The 20,959-nt window shown below is 44.9% G+C and overlaps 1 protein-coding gene across 1 annotated transcript in view, besides 1 other annotated feature; it reads left to right on the top strand.

Annotated features, from left to right (window-relative positions):
* The window catches only part of LOC112267968 (uncharacterized), a 59,629-nt gene extending 53,398 nt beyond the window's left edge, over positions 1 to 6,231 (top strand). Inside the window, exons 4-5 of the mRNA XM_047419645.1 lie at positions 3,171 to 3,341; positions 4,402 to 6,231. Coding sequence (XP_047275601.1) covers positions 3,171 to 3,341; positions 4,402 to 4,573 — 343 coding nt within the window. The 3' untranslated portion in view covers positions 4,574 to 6,231. The remainder of the gene's footprint in view (positions 1 to 3,170; positions 3,342 to 4,401) is intronic.
* Positions 328 to 457: an enhancer, noted in NCBI's record as "active region_25384". NCBI's record gives its function as "activates an Ori minimal core promoter by ATAC-STARR-seq in GM12878 lymphoblastoid cells {active_cell/tissue: GM12878}" and the evidence as "EXISTENCE:reporter gene assay evidence [ECO:0000049][PMID:35858748]".

Below are 20,959 nucleotides of genomic sequence, written 5' to 3'. Positions count from 1 at the left end.
TGCTGGAAGTATTCCTCCACTGCAAAACAAAATGTCCTAGAAGAGCTCAAATTCAGGAAAACAGAAGCCAAAAATTCTAGAAGTGTGTTACTAAGTGGAATAGTGAGATTTCTGACCCATGAACACTGGGTAAAGGAGACGCACATCCATTAACTGGAGAGGTTGACTTCAACTCACTTTTATTTGTTTTTCTCCCCGCCCCTGCCACCATCATTTAATCAGCCTCACCTGGTAAAATCTTGCTAAAAATCCAACTTTTAGAATAATAACTCCCCAGTTTGAGGGACTCTCAGCTGTGGCCTCTCCGAATGCATTCACCTCTTCTGAGGCATCAGAGCCAGCCAGTTGCCATCTGTTCTCAGCAGCCAGCCCCACACATCTCTACGGGCAGGACAGCCCATTGCACATCCACTACTCCTTGGAGTAAAAGAACATGTCCCCAGCAGAACAATGTGGTGCTTTCCATAAGCACGGGAAAACCTGCCTCCTGGTGCTCCCAGCTGCTTCACGATGGAAGATCCCACACATCGTATTGAGTCAGCTCTGTATCGTATTGAGTCAGCTCTGCATCATTTCATCACCATCCCCAGGTGAAGCAAGATACCAGCGCTGAGGGCCCATGTGCTTCCGTATGAAGCATGTCACGTGGTGCCATCTCCCAGGGAAAGGCCCTGCTTGGTGCTCTTCCCCTAACCTGGCCCATCACATTCCTCCCGTTTGATGCCACGTTTCAATGACCACGTATGAAGTGTGGATCCAGAACAAGGAGACGTTTCCTCCGTGGTTTCTGGCACTCATGTCACTACTTTATAATCACATTTCACAGCTTATGTTTTTGTCTTCTATCTTGGTGACACTCCATCCTATCTCCTAAAAGAGAAGACATTAACAATTTATTCCTTTTCATTTTCCTTCACAAGGACAAAAAAAAATGGCATCTTACTGGGTTGAAGTGTCCTTTTGTCCTGCTGTCTACTGGGTTCGTAGAAAAAGCAAAAATTCTGTGTTTGGCTTATAGTCTATACAGCCACCCAAAATAAATGACACAATCTACTTAGTTGACAGTAAAAAAAGAAGAATAACACGAATGAGCATGCAACAACCCAGGCTGTTGCATCCCTCGAGAAAATAAAAATCCTTCACGAAGATCAGAAAACACAGAGGGGAGGTTTGGGGGGAGAGAGAGAGAAGGGCAGGAGAAGGGTGAAGAGAGAACAAGTATTGAGCATCAGGGAACATTTTTTTTAATTTTCAAAATTTAGAAGGATGGGGCCATCTCTGGAGTGTGAGTTAAAGAACACCTGGCCTCACTTACTGCTTTTTGGCAGTGAGGGAGAGGTGTGTCACTTGCAAAATGTACATTGTGCCAAAACACAGCACCGTGGGAAACAGAAATGTGCCAAGGAGAAGGCTCTGAAGACAGTCATCCTAGCAAAGTCTGGGTCCTTGATGGATTCCAGCTCTCACAAAAAGAAGTTTTGCAGGAAGGATTTAGATTTCTGTTTGCTTCCAAAGAACAGTCTGTGATTGCACAGTGTGGGTGACATGTTTAAAGAGAATGAAGTTACACAGTAGTATGATCCATTAGAAAAATGCGTGTCATCTTCATTGGCGCCTAAGTAGGGGTCACCACTGGCCATTTGCCCTTAATCTTGGCAGTCTAAAGAATCTGAAGTGCCCTGGAGGTGATAAGAGAGAGGAAAACAAAATGCAACCTCATTTCTTATTTATTATTTCAAGCAGAAAATTGTTGTTAGAAACATATATATTTAGGACTGACAGTTCAGCCTACCCCACAGAGTAACTGGGCTTTTTCAAGACAGCCAACAGAATCCCTTCTGCTGGTCTTTGGAGAAGGAGAGAACTGCTACGATGCCCTACCTCAACCCTTCCTCCGCCCTCCACAGCTCCTCCTGCATCCCCCACCCCCACCACCAACCACCAGAAGGCCTCTTGAGGCCCTGGTATTGTCCAAGTTCACTGTCATGTGTTAGGATCACCATGTGCTTCTGGGAGGGTTGAGATGTTTTGAAAACATGCTGAGGCTAAATGATATTTATGCGTCTCTTGTTTTGCCCTCTCTGTTTGTTCCATTTCTCTTATTCAGCTCAGATCTGCTCTTGAAAATAAAGCTGCCTTCCCCTCCTAAATCAAGGGACAGTGAGGGCCACCCCCACTCAACTTCTTAATCCCTGCCAAAGCCACAGTTGTTTTCTGTCCACAATTCTCATGTTGAATTGAAGCTAGGAGTTTCCTAGGAAAAAGAGCTGGAGGAGAGTCCAGAAGTCAAGAAATATACTCTTTCTAGGGCTTCTCTTCTTCCTGCATGTTCAGAATTTGTCTTTCCCTGACTTAAAATAATTTTGTTATGGTACCTTGTCGTGGCTGCTGAGACTGGAAGGGAAACTTACAAGTTTGTCCTTGTTAAAAAGGAAAGTCTCAACCCCCCTGCATACCCATGAGTTTTTATTCAACCTTCAAACTCCTGATACATTCTGAGCTTTTTGTAAATTTTTCTTTTCATTATTAAGTGCCTATGATCTGCCTGGCCTTCTGCTTTTCTTTTGATCTGTTAAATTACACTTTTTATTTATACCTACAACAAAGCTGAGAAGGTGGGGGGAGCGGGAATGTCTTTTTGCTGGCTTTTGATGCTTTCAAAACAAAGTCATGGAGAAAATAGTGGCTATCATTTATTGTTACTGTTTTATTATCAAAACACTTGGCCACGACTTGGCTCTTGCCGGTGACAGGGGCTGAGTGGGAGCCATGCTGAGACATCAGCTCTGTGAAGGAAGCCGTGTCACCTAGCTGGCCCATATCTCAACACAGGTTCCTTCTCCCCTTGGAGACAGGACCTGGTAGAAAGCTCAGGTCATGTGTGCCAGGGAACGCTTTGTCACACCAAGGCCACCTAATGGTTCCTTCACAAGCGCCTCACACTTTCAGATCCAGGTATGTTTGTGGTGTGTCTTCCTTTGCAGATGCTGTCTGGAAAGTGAAGAGAAGGCTAATCAAGGACCGATCTGGATAGAAAGGGACACACACGGACCAAGCGTCTAATTGGGGGTTGCCCAGGTCTCACTGGTGCCTGGCTTCCCTTGGAGCATTTCCATTGCAGTTCACAGTCAATCCAAGAATCAGCGAAATTCTCATTTTCTTTTTTCCAGGTCTTCCAAGAGCTACAGAGTCGAACAGAAGCTGCATCTATCTGGCGTGCAGGCTGTCACCTGTGACAGAGAGGAAAGGCAGGATGGGGACAAAGACCAGGATCTCACTATCAGTTTAGGAAATTCTCTGGTCTTCATGCTGGCTTCTGACCCTTGTGTCGCCGAGTTTCCGTGAGTGCCAGCAGTTTCAATTACAGGTTTACAAAGCTAAGATCTTCAGGAAGCCTCCGGTCCTTTCACTAACTCATGACTGTTACAACAAAGAGCACGTGACAGTGTCTTCTAGACACTCGACCAAGACGTGTCACTTGCAATGAATACATTATGCCAAAGCACGGCACCCTTGAAAATAGGAATGTGCCAGGGAGAAGGCTCTGAAGACAGTCATCCTAGCAAAGTCTGGGTCCTTGACAGATTCCAGCTCTCACAAAAAGAAGTTTTGCAGGAAGGATTTAGATCTCCATTTACTTCCATTATTGTTACCAGACGGCCTCATAGCCTATTTTTGCTTTTTCTCGTATTTCATACAGATTAGTTTTTAAAGAAAGAATTGTGTTGTGTGCAGAGATATGAAGGGAAGAGAAACAGTTGAATTTTAGTAATTCACTACCAATTCCCGGACTCAAGCTAACTGTTAGTTTTGTTTCCCTCTAAAGATTGTATTACACAAACAATGGCATTTCTTTTCCTTATAGCACATTTGTGACCACATAACCCAATAAGTCAGTTTATCATGTAGGAAATTGGACACACGAAAGACAGCTGCTCTGTCTCCATCTTTCATGAGAAGGTTCAGAGCAACTCTAGGCTTCCACCAAGAACAGAATTGAAATGGGGTGTTATTTCTCTATTACACACCCTGCTTCCCCTTCACAGTTCGTAGGGTTCTTCTGTGGGCAAAGGGATGCCGGGATGATGAGATGTACACAGCATTATGAGAATGACCTCTTCTTTGCTTTGGGAAGGGTTGCCTGGGTCACCTGCTTCAAAGGAACAAAACTTCCAAAAGTTCAGCATGTGTTCCTTCAATATGGGACACGAAGGTCATAGAAACATAGCTTGAATTTGCCTTCTATGTTCTTTCCCATTGACACTCGTGACCCACACACTGCTGTAGACGTGCTCCACCTTCCTCCCTCATAGACCACGTCCCTCCAGCCCACAGCCTGCAATCAGCCCAGAGCCTGGCTCCCAATAACACCCACAATACCTGTTGCATTGACTCTTCCAGCTCTTCCGGCCTCTTCTTGAAGCCTCTTCATCCTCTCCTGACATCCATACTCACCTGTGCCCTCCGTTGGCTGGTGGTGCCATCTGATCTAGAGACCCACTGGAACAGGGGGCTGTGTGCCCCCCAGGTCAGTACTGAGAGCCTCTGCTGCCCCTTTGTAAATGCACCTTAGCCGAAAACAGAGATTCTGACTGAGGAATTCCAGACATCTCTGGAGAGACCTCATATGTGGAACCTTCTCAGTGTATTTCATCAACCGTGTCCTTTCCAGCCTAAATGGTCTCCCTGACTCAGGCATTCCCAAACTGAGAAGCTTCAGGGGATTTGGAAATAGCCTAGAACCCGAAGCCAAGAAGACCAACATTGGAATCCTAAATCTGTCTTTTCCTGAGTATTTTACCCAGGCAAATTTCATTCAGTATCCTCATCCATTAAGGAAGTAGCTTTATCTGCACTACAGAATTTTGAGGAAGAATAAATGAGCTGCTGTCACACATAGTTTAGAGAACTAAGAATGAGGTAGCTTAAATAGAAATAACTAACACAGAATTTCTCGCACTTAGCAGGTGTGTGATGCAAGTGCTGGCTGCTAACTGGTTTTTTGTTTTGGTTGGGGGAAGGAAGATCCAGGCCAGTGAAGATGGTCTTCACAGCCAAGATGATTGATAAGGTTAGAATTACTAAGTTTCTGATCTCAGTCCATCTCTGAGGGGTGACTTGGGAACTCTCCCACAACCTCCCTATTTGCTTCAAATTGTTCTGGCAAACTGCTTAATGGCAAAGTGTGGAGAAGGGCTTTCTACTGGAGAGCAGATATAAACACCTGCAAAAGGAGGGGCCATGAAGAAGGCTCACTCTGCAGCCTTACAGAGGCCCAAATGATAGCAGAGAAGCTTGCAGCCACACGTAAGAACTGAGAGGTTCACTGAGCATCACAATAAAAAACCAGCTCCGCAAAGTTCGTAGCCACAGATGTAGGGCTTTGGCAGGAAATGGTTGGGGTTGTGTCATCTTCTTTTACTTTCTGAAATATTCTAGAAAAATGGCTTCTGTTTTATCCTTGCAGTAGATAACTGTGGTCCTATAAACTTCATAGGATCAGCTCATAGTGTACAAGGTAGGAACCATCATTAATGTTTGTGACACTCTTTCTTGACAGAGAAACTTTAGAATACTAATAATAATAATGGTCCACAGTTACCCAGAACTCGCTATGCGCCTGTCACTCTTCTGAGCACTTGATATACAATAAGTCACCCACTTCCTTTCTGACACAGATGTCCTAGTCACATGTGAGGTAAGAGTCTTTCAAACTGGGCGTCACAAATGGATTTTCTCCTTGCAGAATGGCTTCCTCCAAGTTAGAAAAAATTCTTTCTCTTACTAATGTGGGAAGTTCCACCCCCTCTAATATCAGATGACCACAAGAAGCCCTGGCATCTCCACTCACGCTGGCCTGAGCATGGCTATGCCCTTTGAACTGTCCCTCCCGTTGTAGTCTCTGGGATATCATGCAATCCTGTGACTGCTGTTTTTGATTCATTCAGATGGGTTCGTTTACAATGTCAGCACAGGCCAACCAGCATAGACAACGCTTCTTTTCATAAAAAGGAACTTCAGATACTGTGTTTTTAAGAGAATTAAATGAGATAATTCAGGTAAACCTCTGAGCATGGCGCCTGCCCCCAGGGAAGGGTTTGGATGGTTTGAGAACTACTAGAGTGGTCGCCTGCGAGGGCTGCCATTACAAGGGACCACAGACTGGGTGGGTTAAATGGCAGAAATGTACATCTCCTGGTTCTGGAGGCTGGAAGTCCAAGATCAAGGTGTCAGCAGGGTTGGTTCCTTCTGAGGCTGTGAGAGAAGAGTTTGTTCCAGGACTCTCTCCTCAGCTGGTAGATGGCTGATTTCTCCCTGCGTCTTCACATCCTCTTCCCTCTATACATATTTGTGCTCAAATTTCTAGTTTTTGTGAGTATATCAGTCATCCTGGATTGCCCACCCTAAAGACCTCACTTTAACCAAATTCCTTCTGTAGCGATCCTATCTCCAAGTAAGGCCACAATCTGAGGTACTGGGGACTCCAACACATAAATAAGGTTGGGGGCAGGTGGGCACGCAAATCAACCCACTGCCAAGGGGCTGGTATCACTGCACTGCAGTCAGAGAGTTCGCCGTAGGGACAGGGGGCTAGGGGACCGGCCAAGCAGATAGATAAGACAAACTGAGCCTGAAATCTGGCTGGAGACCAAGTCCTCAAGGGCTCTAAGTGCTGATGAGGACAACGGGGGTGCAAAGAGGATAAGCCCCTCACCCAGTGCTGTCTGAAGTCTACCAGGGAGGTTGGGTGAGGACGTCCTAAGACTTGAAGCAACAAAGAAGTCTCAGGGCTGAGCCAGAATCAGGCTGACCCAGCCATGGAGGGGAGGGGCTGCCATGGAGGCCAAGGAAGTGCTCCAGCTCCCTCTGAGTCGGTCAAGTCCCTTCAGGGGCATTAACTCATTGGTGCTCCAGCTTCCTCGTGCAGTACCATGCAGACATTACCAGAGTACCAACCCTTCAGGAATCCTCGAGAGAGGTGGCATGAGGGCAGTCAAGCTGGATCCTGCCCTCTGGGGGTTGTGATCTGGTAGAAGGCAAACGTGTGTGTGAAAAAATAAAACATAGTGTCAGAACTGATGGGTCTCAAGAGAAAATAAGATAGAATAATAGGAGGGTTCAGGAAAAGGCAGTGTATTCATTTCCAGGGGCGCTGTAACATATTACCACAAACAGCTCTGAGGCTAGAAGTCCAAAGTCAATGGTTCCGCTGGGTGGGTGCCCCTGGAAGGCTCTAAGGGAGAACGTGTCCGGGCCTTCTCCTGGCTTCCAGTGGTCCTGGCATCCCCTGTGCTCCTTGGCTTGTAGACATATCATTTCAGTCTCTACCTCTGTCCTCACACGGCTTCTCCTCTGTGAATCTTCTCCTTTTTTTATTTTAAAGACACCCATCATTGGATTCGGGGCCCACCCTGATCCAGGATGATCTCATCTCAAAATTCTAACCTTAATTATGTCAGCAAAGATTCTATTTCCAGATGAGATCACCTGCACAGGTAGTGTAGGTTAGGACTTAGACATATCTTTCTGAGGGACAGCCACTGTAGACAATTAACCTCATTGAGAGAAACGGGAGGATTTGGGAGTGAGGGGCAGGGGGCATTCTGAGCTGGGCTTTGTGGGGAGAGGCAGGATTGGGCCTTTGGAGAAGAGTGGAAAGGACATTTCAGTAGAGGGACAAAAGGGATGAAGGCCCAGAGATGCAAAGCACCCTTCACCCACAGAAGGCAGCAGGCATAGCAGAGGAGGGCTGAACGGGATTTGGTATCTGCCCGTCCCTTCCTTTCTGCTCCATAAGCTACTCCCATCATCCCCACTGTCATGGCCATGACCGACACTGAGTTAAGCAACGCAACAGAAAAGTTGAACAAGGAATGCCCAACCTCTCCATTCCTGCAGAGCAATTCCAGCTTGGCCTACTCCTGAGTTATTTCACTCCAGTTCACTTGCAAACATGTGTGCTCAGTCAAAAGCATCCAAGAGATTAGCATGACCCAGGACTAAGCATCTCCCTGCACCTCAACTTTGGTGATTTGAGAGTGAAAAAGTACTCTCTTTATTATGAAGACAAACCCTGGTATAGTAAGAAGGAGACTTCAGCAGTGACACGGGATCGTAAGTAAAAAGAGAATAATAATTCCCACTTCTCAGGTTTACGGTTAGGCACAAAGAAGATCAATTTGTAAAATGTGTAACAGAGAGTCTGACCTAGGGGAAGACCCCAATAATGGTAGAGAGGGGAAAACAGAGGGCTTGGGAGACTCTCTTAGACTCTCATTTGTCATTGTGTCTCTTCACTAGAAAAATTTTAGGAAGACTGGCCCAAAAAAAGGCACCAGAGGGGTACAGGGATGGAAAAGCACAGTGTGACCTCATCATGGAAGGGCTTAAACATCAGCCCGAGGAATTTCTACTTGTCCTGCAGCTAATGGGAAGCTGATGTCACAAAAATCAGTGAACTCAATGTCTTGTGCCAGATTAATACAATGCAAAGAGTTAACAATTACTTGGTGCAGTTGTGCCATGTCAATAACTGATGTATTACATCCACTTTTTCTGCTCTTTGCAGAGTAGTCTAGAGCCTTGCAGAGTGTAGTATTATTATCTAACTAATTGGAAACACGCATTTCTTTTGCCACCAAAAGATAAGGCTGACATGGTATTTAGAAAAGTTGTGTTTGCAAAATGAACCATCCATCCTGGCTGGCAAGATAATCCTTTTCAACCAGTCATTTTGTTGCTAGTCATTTTGTCGCCCACTTGTGCTCTTACTGTTAAAATTTGTTAATTTCTTTTTTTAAAACCCACATTGAGTCAGACTGAGTTAACTCTGTTGTGGGCATTTCCATCACTCGACACAGAGCTTCTTAGCACCACCAGAGGTGGGACTTTTGGCAAATGCTGTTTATCCACCTTTGAAATTAGACATTCATTGCAAATGAATTTAAAATGAAATTCCTGTAAAAAGCATTTTTTCTTTCAGTGATAGTTTTTGCCTTTTTTTTTCACTTGCCCATAACTTTCTGGAAATTTCTACTTTGGGCTGAATTTTCTCATAATTGTTTTCAGTATAAGTTTGCTTTGTTTTTTATTAATGGAAAGTTTAAGGGGAAAAATCCCTTTGGTAACTTTTGAGTTATGAGATTATTTTTTAAAGTACACTTTTTCCAAGTAAAAGAAACCTTTGAACATTTTTTAAAAATCGAAACCTTTGCATTTGAGGACTATAGTGGACTCCAGGCAGTGGTTCCCAGTATTGTCTTCACTTTGGAACCCTTTGACAAACTTTTAAAATACTGATGCCTGAATCAAAGATTCTGAAGCAATTGGACGGGGTCCAACACAGGCCTTAGGATCACTGGGAGCTCCCCCAGGTGATTCTCATGTTCCAGATTCACTGAGTAGTATCCTTGGACACAACCACCCCAATATCCAAGCTCTAAAAAGGATGCAGAGGTCTTCGAGGGTGCAGAAAGGAAAATCAATTCTTACTGGGAATAATTTTCTTTCCATTAAGAGAAAAATAGTTGGCCAGGCATGGTGGCTTACGCCGGTAATCCCAGCACTTTGGGAGGCCGAGGCAGGCAGATCACGAGGTCAAGAGATCGAGACCATCCTGGTCAACCTGGTGAAACGCCATCTCTACTAAACATACAAAAAATTAGCCAGGCGTGGTGGTGCGTGCCTGTAGTCCCAGCTATAGGAGGCTGAGGAAGGAGAATCACTTGAACCCGGGAGGCAGAGGTTGTAGTGAGCCAAGATTGTGCCACTGCACTCCAGCCTGGCGACAGAGCGAGACTCTGTCAAAAAAAAAAAAGAAAGAAAAACATAGTTATACTTTTTACTATGTGAAATATACAGCTCTGAGGAAGATACGAAAAAAATTTGACTCATAAGTCTTTATATAACCCGCATCCAACTAGTCAACTATCACCAGGTCCATCACTTTCTGTTCCTTAAGGAGAGATTCACTTTTCACCACCACTCAGAGTGAGGAACCTCCTTCCTGGCTTTGGACAAAGGGTTTCTCTGTATTCTTGTGGCCATCAAAGAAAAAGAGAGAAACTCTGGGGAACCAGCCATTGTCCTGGTTCTGTGGCCACCTTTTCCCATCATTCGGGGTCTTTTCCTGGGCTTTTGTAAAAGTTTTTAAGAAATTCCTCTACCAAGGGCAGCTAGGATAGAGTTCCAAAATGGAAGTATGACTTCCAAAATGGACCACAGGCAAAACCATACTCACTACCACAGAGGAAATACGTCCTCCCTCCGCATCTGGGTAGAGCCTGGTACATAAAGTCCCAGAAACCAGAAGGTAACTCTGCCTCCTCCTCCCTTCTGACTCTTGGGGCTCATGGATCCCCTGCCCTTTAATGACATTTCGTCACCGCCAGCTGCAGAGCCAGAGCCACACATGCTTCATGCTCAAAGATGGACCCTACCAGAATTCATCTAGTCCATGAGCCTTTACTGAATGCCAACTATATGCGAGTCCTACGGAGAAGATGTCAACATTAACAGGACACAGCCCCTGCCCTCATGGAAGGACAGTCAAGCAGACCACTGCAGGGGACACCCTTGTTCAAGGACCAGAGTGTCTGAAAGTCACAGGAAAGTTTTTTTGATCACTATGAAAGTTTAACACGTTCGCTGTAAAATAACTTGGCAACTTTATGCCAGAGCAAATAGTACCATGGAGTAGATTCCAACATAGACAAATGTGAGTTGCAAATTTGTTGTAAATATGGGGAGAAAATGTAAAACTAAGCAAGTTTTCTCTACCAAGTTAAATTGGTCTGTGGATTGGGAAGAGACTGCCATGCTTGTGTTTCGCCGCAGAACACTGCAGACCAGCTGAGGGACACCAGGCAGGGCTCCCAGAAAGACATCTGAGGACCCTCTGCTCTTAGACAGTCACACTCACGCCAAGCAGGTCCCTTCATCACCACAGAAGAAACTCAGGCTCCTGTGTGATTGTGTGTCTCAGACACGGCTCTCTTTCAGGGGAAAAAGTGGTTTCCCTGTTGAGAAAAAGCAGTACAGGAAATGTTTACATATTTTACTAATTTAATGAGCTCTGAGTAAAATGTATAAATCTTGGCATCCAGGGACCATTGCAGAAATTCGCGCAAGCTCTTGGAATCTGCCTTCTTTAAAGCTTTCAATCCCATCATGATCAAAACACAACAAACAAACAAAAGTGTGCAGAAAGGCAGACTAACTATAGGGCTGAAAACCTGCAGGAAGCTGTCCCACTCAGGACTCTCTGGGAACCTAGGCAGCATCCCCCAGTCTCCTCATGTTGACTTCTGCCCATGGGATGCAGAGTCTTCAGGATCTGATGTTTTCATCTGGCCATTTTTGCTGACAATTCCACTTTCAGGACTTCGATGTTAACATTGTCTCCCTGTTTGTTCCTGGGTTAGGCTTTTCATATTTCCTTTTTAAAACCCTGTCTTCTCTCATCCATGGCCATCAGGAGCACTTCACCTCCTGCTGTGATGGCTCCAGCCCTTCCTGGGGAAGGCTGTGGGAAGTCTCCCCTCTGGCTGGCTTCAAAAGCTTCTCCCATAAAAGCTGAGCAAAGGTCTTTGTCAGACTTATTTGGAAAAAGGCTCCTCGGACATGAGTAGTGAGTAAATCCTAGAAAACAATCTGTTGAGTTTGTAAATGAATACATGTTTTTGGACTTCATGCAGACATCCTCAATCCCTATTCTCAGATGCCGTAGTTATCTGCAGAATTCCCCTTCAGTTAGGAAGTAGGTTTTTCATGTCTATCTGATAACCTGGCTTTTTATTTGAAATGCCTCCAATGACAGAAAACAGGAACTAAGTGGCTTTTATTTAAGGAAGCAAAACTCCTATCTGCCTATCACAGTCTAGAGAGTTTAAAAATGAGAAGAAGGAAAAGAGCCGCCAAAAAAAATGTAATTTCCTCTTTGACAATTATTTCTGAATAGGAACTTGAGCAATCACACTCGAGAAGGTGAGGTTTTTGTCCTACTTAAGTTGCTCAGAAGTGTGCAAACTGATGCCCTCCTGATGCTGTGGGGCTGGCCCACAGCTTTGTGTGGTCCCTGGAAGCAAAGATTTGAGTTTCTGTCACTACTGCCAGCTCCAGACTTCCTGGAGCTTTCCTGGTCTCTGCCTTCAGCGATTCTGACTTGAGTCTGACTTGAGTGTCTATTGCTTTCAAACCACCCTCCTGCCCCTTCCCTTTGTCTGTATCTGTCACATCGTAGGGTGGTCCACAAGGCAGAGAACTGATACCAACCCCCTGACAGAGAAACAAAGGCAGGCATATTTCTGGTCAACTTAAAAGTATATATATGTACACCTATATGTGTATTCATATATACATATGTATATTTATAAGCTGAATTGTGTCTCCCCAAAATTCCTGTGTGGAAGCCCTAGCCCTCAGCACCTCCAAATGTGACTGTGTTTGGAGGGAGGCTCTTAAAGAGGTGGTGAAGTTAAGGTGAGGCAGTTAGAGTGTGTCCTACTCCAGTCCGACTGGCGCCCCTATAAGAGGGAATGTGGTCACGAGAGACCCCAGGAATGTGCACACGGAGGGAAGACTAAGGCGGGGTGCAGTGAGGATGGCCATCTGCAAGCCGAGGAGAGAGGCCTCGGAGAAAGCAACCCTGCCCACACCTTGGTCACTCCTAGACCCCAGGACTGGAAGGAACACATTCCTATTGTTTAAGCCATCCAGTCTGTGGTATTTTGTTGTGGCAGCCCCAGCAGACGTGTGTGTGCGTGTGTGTGTGTGTGTGTGTGTGTGTGTGTGTGTATAATATGAGGAACTGATAAAAGTTGGAGTGGCTAGTCACAAGGCAAAGCCTCCTCCCTGAATTAATTCTAGATCGCTGAATCACATGGCTGTTGCCCAGTAGAAGCCCCTTGTCTACACTGTCAAATGAAACGCGCCACCCCTCCTGACTCCGTTCTGAACGGTGTGACAGGGCCCTTCCTGGTCACAGCCCAACACACGCTCCACAGCATCCTCCTGGGAACCTTGGCTCCCTCTTTGCACTGAAGAACCACGATCATTTCCAGAAGAACTAAATGTGAATCCCAACTGTTAGGATTGAGAAATGCCTGTTGACAGCAGCTAATAACTTGGAAAACTGAAAGGATGAGATAGGAACGTGAAACACACCTTGAGTTTGGGAGCCATGTCCATTTTCCAACTCAATACCCAGTAAAGCTCCATGCACCTTGTGGGGACTCAAAAAGTATTTATTGACTGAGTACAAATAATAATGAAATTAAGTTTCCAGAAGCATCTCAGTTCAACTTTTCGAGTACCCAAAGAATGTCAGTCTTTCTTTGGAATTTCTGAAAGTTCTACCCAAAGTTCTGGATACTCCACCCTTTAGTTTTGCATCCTGAAAATTCCCTTGTATGTCATTTGTATCCATAAGCACAGATTTTTTTAACATCCACCACTGATTGATTTTTATTTTACATCTCTCTGGTCTATTTAAACTTTATTATCTTAAACACACTAAAAAATGCATCATGGGCTCACTGTGAGAAATACTGTATCAGTAGCTCACTAAGATGCTTTAAAATAAAGCTGGATTGCTTCCACCGAGAACGAGGCTAAATCAGTGCTTTTTAAAGTTGCATTTGCAATGCATTGCAATGTTACCCTGGGGGTGCATGTGCAAAAGTCATGGTAACAATTTATGGAGTCACTATTTGTTTCAGGCACCTATTGCTGAATAATAACCACCAAAAACTCAGTCTCCTAAAACAGCATCAATTTCTGATTTAGCAGGATTCTACGGGTTGGCTGGGCAGTTCTACTGTTGGTTTCACACGGTCTCACTTAGATGACATTCAGGATCGCCCAAGACGGCCTTACACACACGTCTGAGAGTTGGTGTTGGCTGTGGGCTGGGCACCTTGTCTCTCCTCCACGTGGTCTCTCATCCTCCAGGAAGCTTGTATGGCTTCCTCACATGGCTATCTCAGGGCTGCATTCAAGAGGGCAAAGGTGGAAACTTTGAGGCCATTGGAGCACAGTATCCTTTTTTCTGCATTCTACAAGTCATGAGGGCAGCCTCATATAAAGTGGGGAAGTAGACTCCGTGTCTTGATAGAAGCCGCCTCAAAGAATTATGGCCACATTTCATTAACCACAAGACTGCAGCAGATTCTAAGTCACCTCAGCTCTCTCACTTTGTGGGTGAGAAGGGGTAAGTTAGGGAAATAGTGCTCCTGAGACGACGCTGCTCAATGGAGGGACGCTGAGGCTCAGCTTCCCACCCAGGCGGACAAGGTACCTGCTGCTTCTAAGATTGCCTGGTGCCTGTGGTTACAGTGGAAAAGGATCCCATTATAAAACTGACAGATCAGTTGACCCCAAAAACTGTGGCTGAGATCACTGGTTAAGCTGCATGTTGGAATTCTCTGGAGAATTTTTTTTAATCCTGAAATCCCGTCTTCAGAAATTTCCATTTTATTGGTCAAAGATTAGGTGTGGGCATTGATTATTCTTAAAAAGCTTCCCAGGGGATTCTCACGTGCAGCCAAGTTTGAGAAGGACTGATATTTAAACTTTAAACTGCCTTTTCTCAATTGTCAGAGAGATTCAACTAACGCCTTATTTACTCTGTCGACCTGGTCATTTGTACATGGTAAACATGCATCATGAAAGGATAATGTTACACACACACACACACACACACACACACACACCCCGAGTGTTCTTGCAGGTGGTGGTCAAGGAAGCTCACCTTCAAGTGTTTAGGGATCTTCCAAGGGGCATTTGTGGAGAGCTGAGCTCTCTCACAAAAAACAGACGCCCCGTGGACATACAGCTGGCTCTTAGGTTCAAGACAAGTTTGTGCACCTGGTGGTCTATTTGGCTTCCTTAACCCAGGCCATTGAAAGTGAGTCGCCAATAGGGAAATACCACATTTATTTGAAAAAATTAAGTAAAATTAGCAAAGCCTCTGTTGAGTTAGATCTCGGGGCTCTAAGTGAGCCAAGCAGTAGATGCCTTCTCTCTTCTGTTTAGCCACCTGGTGAAAGGTCTAGGGCTTAGTCTCAACATAAAAGTGTAAACGATTCCTTTGGAGTAGCCCTCAGCTTTTGTCTGGGAAAACATGGTTGAGCATAGCAATCAGAAGAAGAAATGTGTCCAAATATCCAAAAAAGCAGAAGTACAGCTTCAGGCTGGGCACCTGTTTTACTCATTCTTAAAAATGGATATTTGTGTACTTCATACTGTGCACCCCAGGCTTGTCTTGGGGTGTAAGAATGAATTGCTTCAATTTAAGGACCTGCACTCTAATTTCAAGGGGCAAGATAGAACGTGAAAGCTAGCAAGGAATCATGGAATAACCTAGTGATTATAAAAATGCCGTTAAATAAACTACTCCAAAGCCAGGAAGCAGGAATATATTAAATACATTTTACTTTTTACTTTTTCATGATACAGCAGGCCCTCAAATAACATCATTTTGTTCAATGTCATTTCATTATCACGTGGATGAAGAAAAACAATTTCTTCCCGGCTACGGCCACTCTCAGTGTGGAATTTCCATGCTCTCCCAACATCCACATGGGTCTCCTCTGGGTCCTCTGGTTTCCTCCCACATCCCAAAGCTGTGCCATTCGGTGAACTGGCGTGTCTATGTGGTCCCAGGTTGAGTGAGCTTAGGTGTGTGTGTGAGTGTGCCCTGCGATGGGGTGGCAGCTGAGCCGCCAGGATGGTCTCTTGTCACCCCAGACCCTGAACTGGAATGAGCAGGTAAATAATGAACCTCTTTGTTTTTATTCATCTTTCCTAAATGTACGTATAGCTCACACTTATTTCAATGTTTAATATTTGAAGTGTTATGGGTCTTTACTGAAAAGTTCAGTGATCCTTTTGTGACCAGAAATATGCCACAGGAACTTGACTCTTGTTTACATCATCAGTTAGCCTATGGGAAAATTGTTTTCATTATACGTTGATTTGCTTAGAGTCACAGTTTCCAAGAATCTATGGATGACATTAAATGAGGTCTTACTGTGCTTCCACAGCCATCCTTCAGAGTGTGGCCCTCAGACCAGCTGCATCAGCGTCACTGGGTACTCATTACAAATGCACATTTTCAGGCCTCTCCCCAGACCTGCCGAATCAGACGCTCCAAGGTGGAGGCCACAGTCTAGGTTTGAATGAACCTCCAGGTGATTCTGATACGCGATCAACTTGGAGCAGCACTGCACTGCACATTTGAGAAATGGTTGCTGTTTGAGATTTATGGAAGATCTCACAAAGGCTACAACTCAGAGAAAGGGCTTCTGGGCTCAGTTTTCCAGTTAACATATGCAAACTTAGGAAAGATATGGAAATTTTTTTAAATATGTATCATGGCTGGGCGCGGTGGCTCACGCCCATAATCTCAGCACTTTGGGAGGCCGAAGCAGGTGGATCACGAGGTCAGGAGTTCAAGACTAGCCTGGCCAAGATGGTGAAACCTCGTCTCTACTAAAAATACAAAAATTAGCTGGGTGTGGTGGCGGGTGCCTGTAATCCCAGCTACTCGGGAGGCTAAGGCAGAGAATTGCTTGAACCAGGAGGCAGAGGTTGCAGTGAGCCAAGATCACACCACTGCACTCCAGCATGGGCAACAAAGTGAGACTCCATCTCAAAAAAAAAAATATATATATATATATATATATATATATATATATATATATATATATATATATAATGCTTTCTAGTGTGTTACATAATGTTTTATGACCCAAAAACAGAAGGAGAAATCTTATGATTCTTTTTTCTGTAAGAAAAGCCCAGGAGGCAGCATCAGGTTTGCAAAAATTACGTGGCTTTCCCTTGCCCCTCTGCCCAAAGTCTTTTCACACAGAAGATGACACTAGCTTTAAACCCTTCCCCCGGACTGGTCCTAGAGTCTAAATCAGAACCAGTCTGGACTAGTCCATCAGGAAGGCTACAATTGCCAGGAAAAGAAAGCACTCCACAGACCCAGCCACAAAGGGTTAGGACTTGCTAAATGGTTGCTAGCTGAACCTGGGTGAAAAGGTGAAAATCAGATGTGAAGCCACCAATGAGCACAGTGCCCTGAGCACTGGCAAGCCCGCTCCGGCCAGGTGAGAGTTTGTCTTCAGGTTGGAGACCCCCTTACTGCTTCCCCTGGCAGGAGCTGCGTGCCTAGTGGCCACGCTCCCCAACCCCGAGGAGCAGGGGCCGCTTGGGAGGGCATCACTGAAAGATTTTCTTAGGAGACACCAAATAAGGCACATATTTGAGAAGGGGACCACACACATTCAAAATAACAAATACTTTTCTTTTTTAAAATTTACACAGGGAGGTAAAAGCCCTGGATAATTTTTTTCATATGACAAATGAAAAAAAGTGCTCAGTAAAAAAACCAAAGTCAACTACAGTAAATATATCTTTAAAAGGCATTTTAAAAGCATGGGGCAAACTAAACATTTTTCCACCATTTCTACTTTTTTGGTTCAGATTTTTACAAATGCTGCACATGAATTTTGTAGACTGCTAACAAAGAACCTCAGCTTTCATAGTTTTCTCTTTGTTTCTTCAAAAAAATAACCTACCAAATCATATTGTAGTTAACTGATGTTCAGGGCTGCTGACATGCCTTTTTTGACATCATGTTTGCCTTGTGCAATTTTTCAGGCCAAAATATCAACAGAAAGAAAAGATTCTTTAGTTTTTTTGTTTTTATTTTTTATTTTTTTTTGGAAACGGAGTCTCGCTCTGTTGCCAGGCTGGAGTGCAGTGGTGAGATCTGGGCTCACTGCAACCTCCGCCTCCCGGGTTCAAGTGATTCACCTGCCTCAGCCTCCTGAGTAGCTGGGACTACAGGCGTGTGCCACCATGCCCAGATCATTTTTTGTATTTTTAGTAGGGACAGTGTTTCACCATGTTGGCCAGAATGGTCTTGAACTCCAGACCTCGTGATCTGCCCACCTCGGCCTCCCAAAGTGCTGGGATTACAGGCGTGAGCCACCGCGCCCAGCCACATTCTTTAGTTCTTAAAGTGATAAACACAGCTAAGCTGAAGCCCTACCTGGGTCCTACAGCACTGATAATGTAGCTAAGATGAAGCCCTGCCTGGGTCCCATAGCAGTGATAACGCAGCTAAGGTGAGGCCCTGCCTGGGTCCCATAGCAGTGATAAGCGCGGCTAAGCTGAGGCCCTGCCTGGGTCCCATAGCAGTTTGTGTCATCAGCCATACAGCTTCTAATCACCTAATCTCAGGATGTCTTATTTTTAATTCTTCATCTTGATCACAATAAGTGGAGAAGCCAGTTTAAAAAGAACATTTTGTTTGAGCCTTTCTTAGTTTTCAAGCCAGCTTTTGAAAACACAGCGTTCTTCAAATATTATTTTATGCTGAGCCTATTTTGTATTCCAACACAAAGATAAATTCATAATTGCAAATATCTGAGGGGGCAAATTTGAAATGTCTGCTTCCACTACTGCAGAAATGCAGCCATTTGTGGAGACAGCAAATTATTTTGCAAGATGAAATGATGCTTGACATTATTTCAGGGATGCCAGGGTCCCAGCAAACCTCTGAGAAGTTCCCTGGAAGGCAGCCCTTCTCCTGCCAGGAAAAAAAACAAAAATTAAAAAATGACCTTAAAGGACTGAACTGTATTTACCGTAGCCGAGACTGAGTCCTTGCCTGTATCTGTGAGCCCGGGGCCTGCAGAGAGGTGAGAACGTCTCTTCCAGGCATATCTTCCCCACCCACAGACTTTCCTAGAAGTTTCTTAGAGGAGAGGCAGGCAAGGAGTTTTATTGCTAATTCGCTATAACCAAAGTCACCGCATAAAAGATTCTGCAGGTTGGGTACTTTGCAGATTAGTGAATCCAAGACCGTCATTCAAAGTGAGCACCAACTTCCCAGCCCCCGGAGTCCTTTATGCTAAGTCCTCCTCTGCCACCAGACAGTGAGGAGCATGGCTCTGGGGACGTCCACACCTCCCAGAGCACACAGAACTAGGGAGTCTAAGGTGAGAACACTGGTAAGGCTTTGGTCCTTGGAGGGTGGGAGGTGAGAGGCTGGACAGGTGTGGTCACGCCCTCCTGACAGATTCACTGACAGAAGCTGACACTCAAGTCCACCTAAGGCGAGGCCTCCTTCCTCACCACAGAGCTAGAGAGTCCATGTGTCTAATCCCACAACATTGGTATCGACATAAGCCCGCGGTGTGTGCAAGGAGAGGCTGTCTCCAGCTCAATCAAATTCTGCAACGATGGTCTCTGTTACAGCGTGACAAAGAGGTAGTCTTTCTCCATGAAACGAAACAGTCAAAGGCTAAGTGACAAAAAGTCTGAGTAACAAATTGCAATACCAGCAAACGTATGGTGAGATTTAAATGTTTTATTTTATCACTCAATTTTACTAGTAATTAAAGTATAGCAAATGCCTACTGTGTGCAAAATATGAGGCCAGGCACTTGTAAGAATAAAAGATGAAAAAAGTAGACTCACAGTCTACTGGGTGCGGCCACTATGCAGGGCCAGGGAAGGAAATTTAATTCAATCTAGAAAAGTCCCTTCTTAGAGGAGATAGGACTTGGGCTAGATTCCGAGGGAAGGGCAGAATTCCAAAAGGCAGATGGCGTGAATGGCATTTCAGGAGGAGGGAACAATTTATCAAAGGCCTGGAGACTCAGAAGCACACTTTTAGGGGATGACAACAGCCTGTGTGGCTAAAACATAGGACAAGTGGGAGATGGGGAGGACGGATAATCAGAGAAAAGGCTGGATTGCCCTTTTTTAAAAAAAAGAAATTGTAATTTGAGTTTTCTAGAAAATCAACCTGTTAATCAGTCATTAGGTAGCCAGACACTGGGGTGATGGAGAAGTCCTGAAGGAAATCGTGAACTCTTTGGGAAAATAATCTTCAATGCAGGAAACTGTTGACATTAATCTCATTACAGAATGCAGGGCTCTGAATCACTGGGTGGTCCCAGGAAGAGAAAGGGAAAGTGAGTTCAAACTGAAGAGCCGGACTCTAATCCTCCAGTTGGTGTTTCCCAGGCAAGCTGGGTAAACAATGTGGGGAAAATGACTTCCATATTCTCGTTCACAACAGTCCAGACTGAAGCGGTAACTGAGCCTGAAAGTATGGGAAGGAACGATGGTGCTTCCAGTCACCCTCCAAAGCACACATGTACACAGCATAGAACTCACAGTCCCCAGAACGGAACTCACTGTCCTTAGAGACTCACCACAAGAAAAGCAAAGCCAATTATTTGCAGAAAAATTGATTGTGACCAGGACCCAAGCGATAAAAGTCCCACTGTGAGAAGCATCTTTACAGGTGTGGGTTTCACCGGGGTTTCCTTCAGCCCAACCCAGCAAAAGCCACTGAAGTTCCTTTCCACGTTCTGAAGACTCTTACTATGCAGGACGATGAGAGCTTGCTTTTCAAAGAGATGTGTGGGAGACAAGAATATGGAAAAAGTGAATCTGACATTTCCATCTTTTTTTCTAACTTTTGGCATGACTGCTTCCAAATTTTACACTTTATTTATAAATGTTTCTCCTAGTGCTCGGAAAACTGCGATCAAAATTACTGTGAGATTTTCAGAGTTGAGGGTGCAGCACCTGCCCTTCACAACTCTTTCTCTTTCCACAGTAGGCGCCATATGCAGGCGGGGCCACAGTCATAAAGGAGAACGTCTCCTCAGTCCCCCAGCAGCACCAGCCAACAATGGTGGCTTTCCTTCAGTCACAAAATGTACCTATTCATTAGATGTTGACTGTCAAAATCTCCCAGGGACCCCAAAGGATGGCACCTCCCTCTGGGCTTTCCCACCATCAGTTGTGTCAATAAGAAGAGCCAAAACATATTTCTGTTTCAAAAAATGGAGGGGCCCTAATTCTGTTGCCGTATTTGCTACTAACTTTTCATCCTAGATAGTTCCCTGGGTGCTTAACTAGGCAT

Source organism: Homo sapiens, chromosome 6, assembly GCF_000001405.40.
Source record: "Homo sapiens chromosome 6, GRCh38.p14 Primary Assembly".
In the NCBI taxonomy this organism is placed as follows: domain Eukaryota; kingdom Metazoa; phylum Chordata; class Mammalia; order Primates; family Hominidae; genus Homo; species Homo sapiens.
Note: the sequence above shows the minus strand (reverse complement) of the source record. Positions and strands in the feature narration are given on the sequence as shown.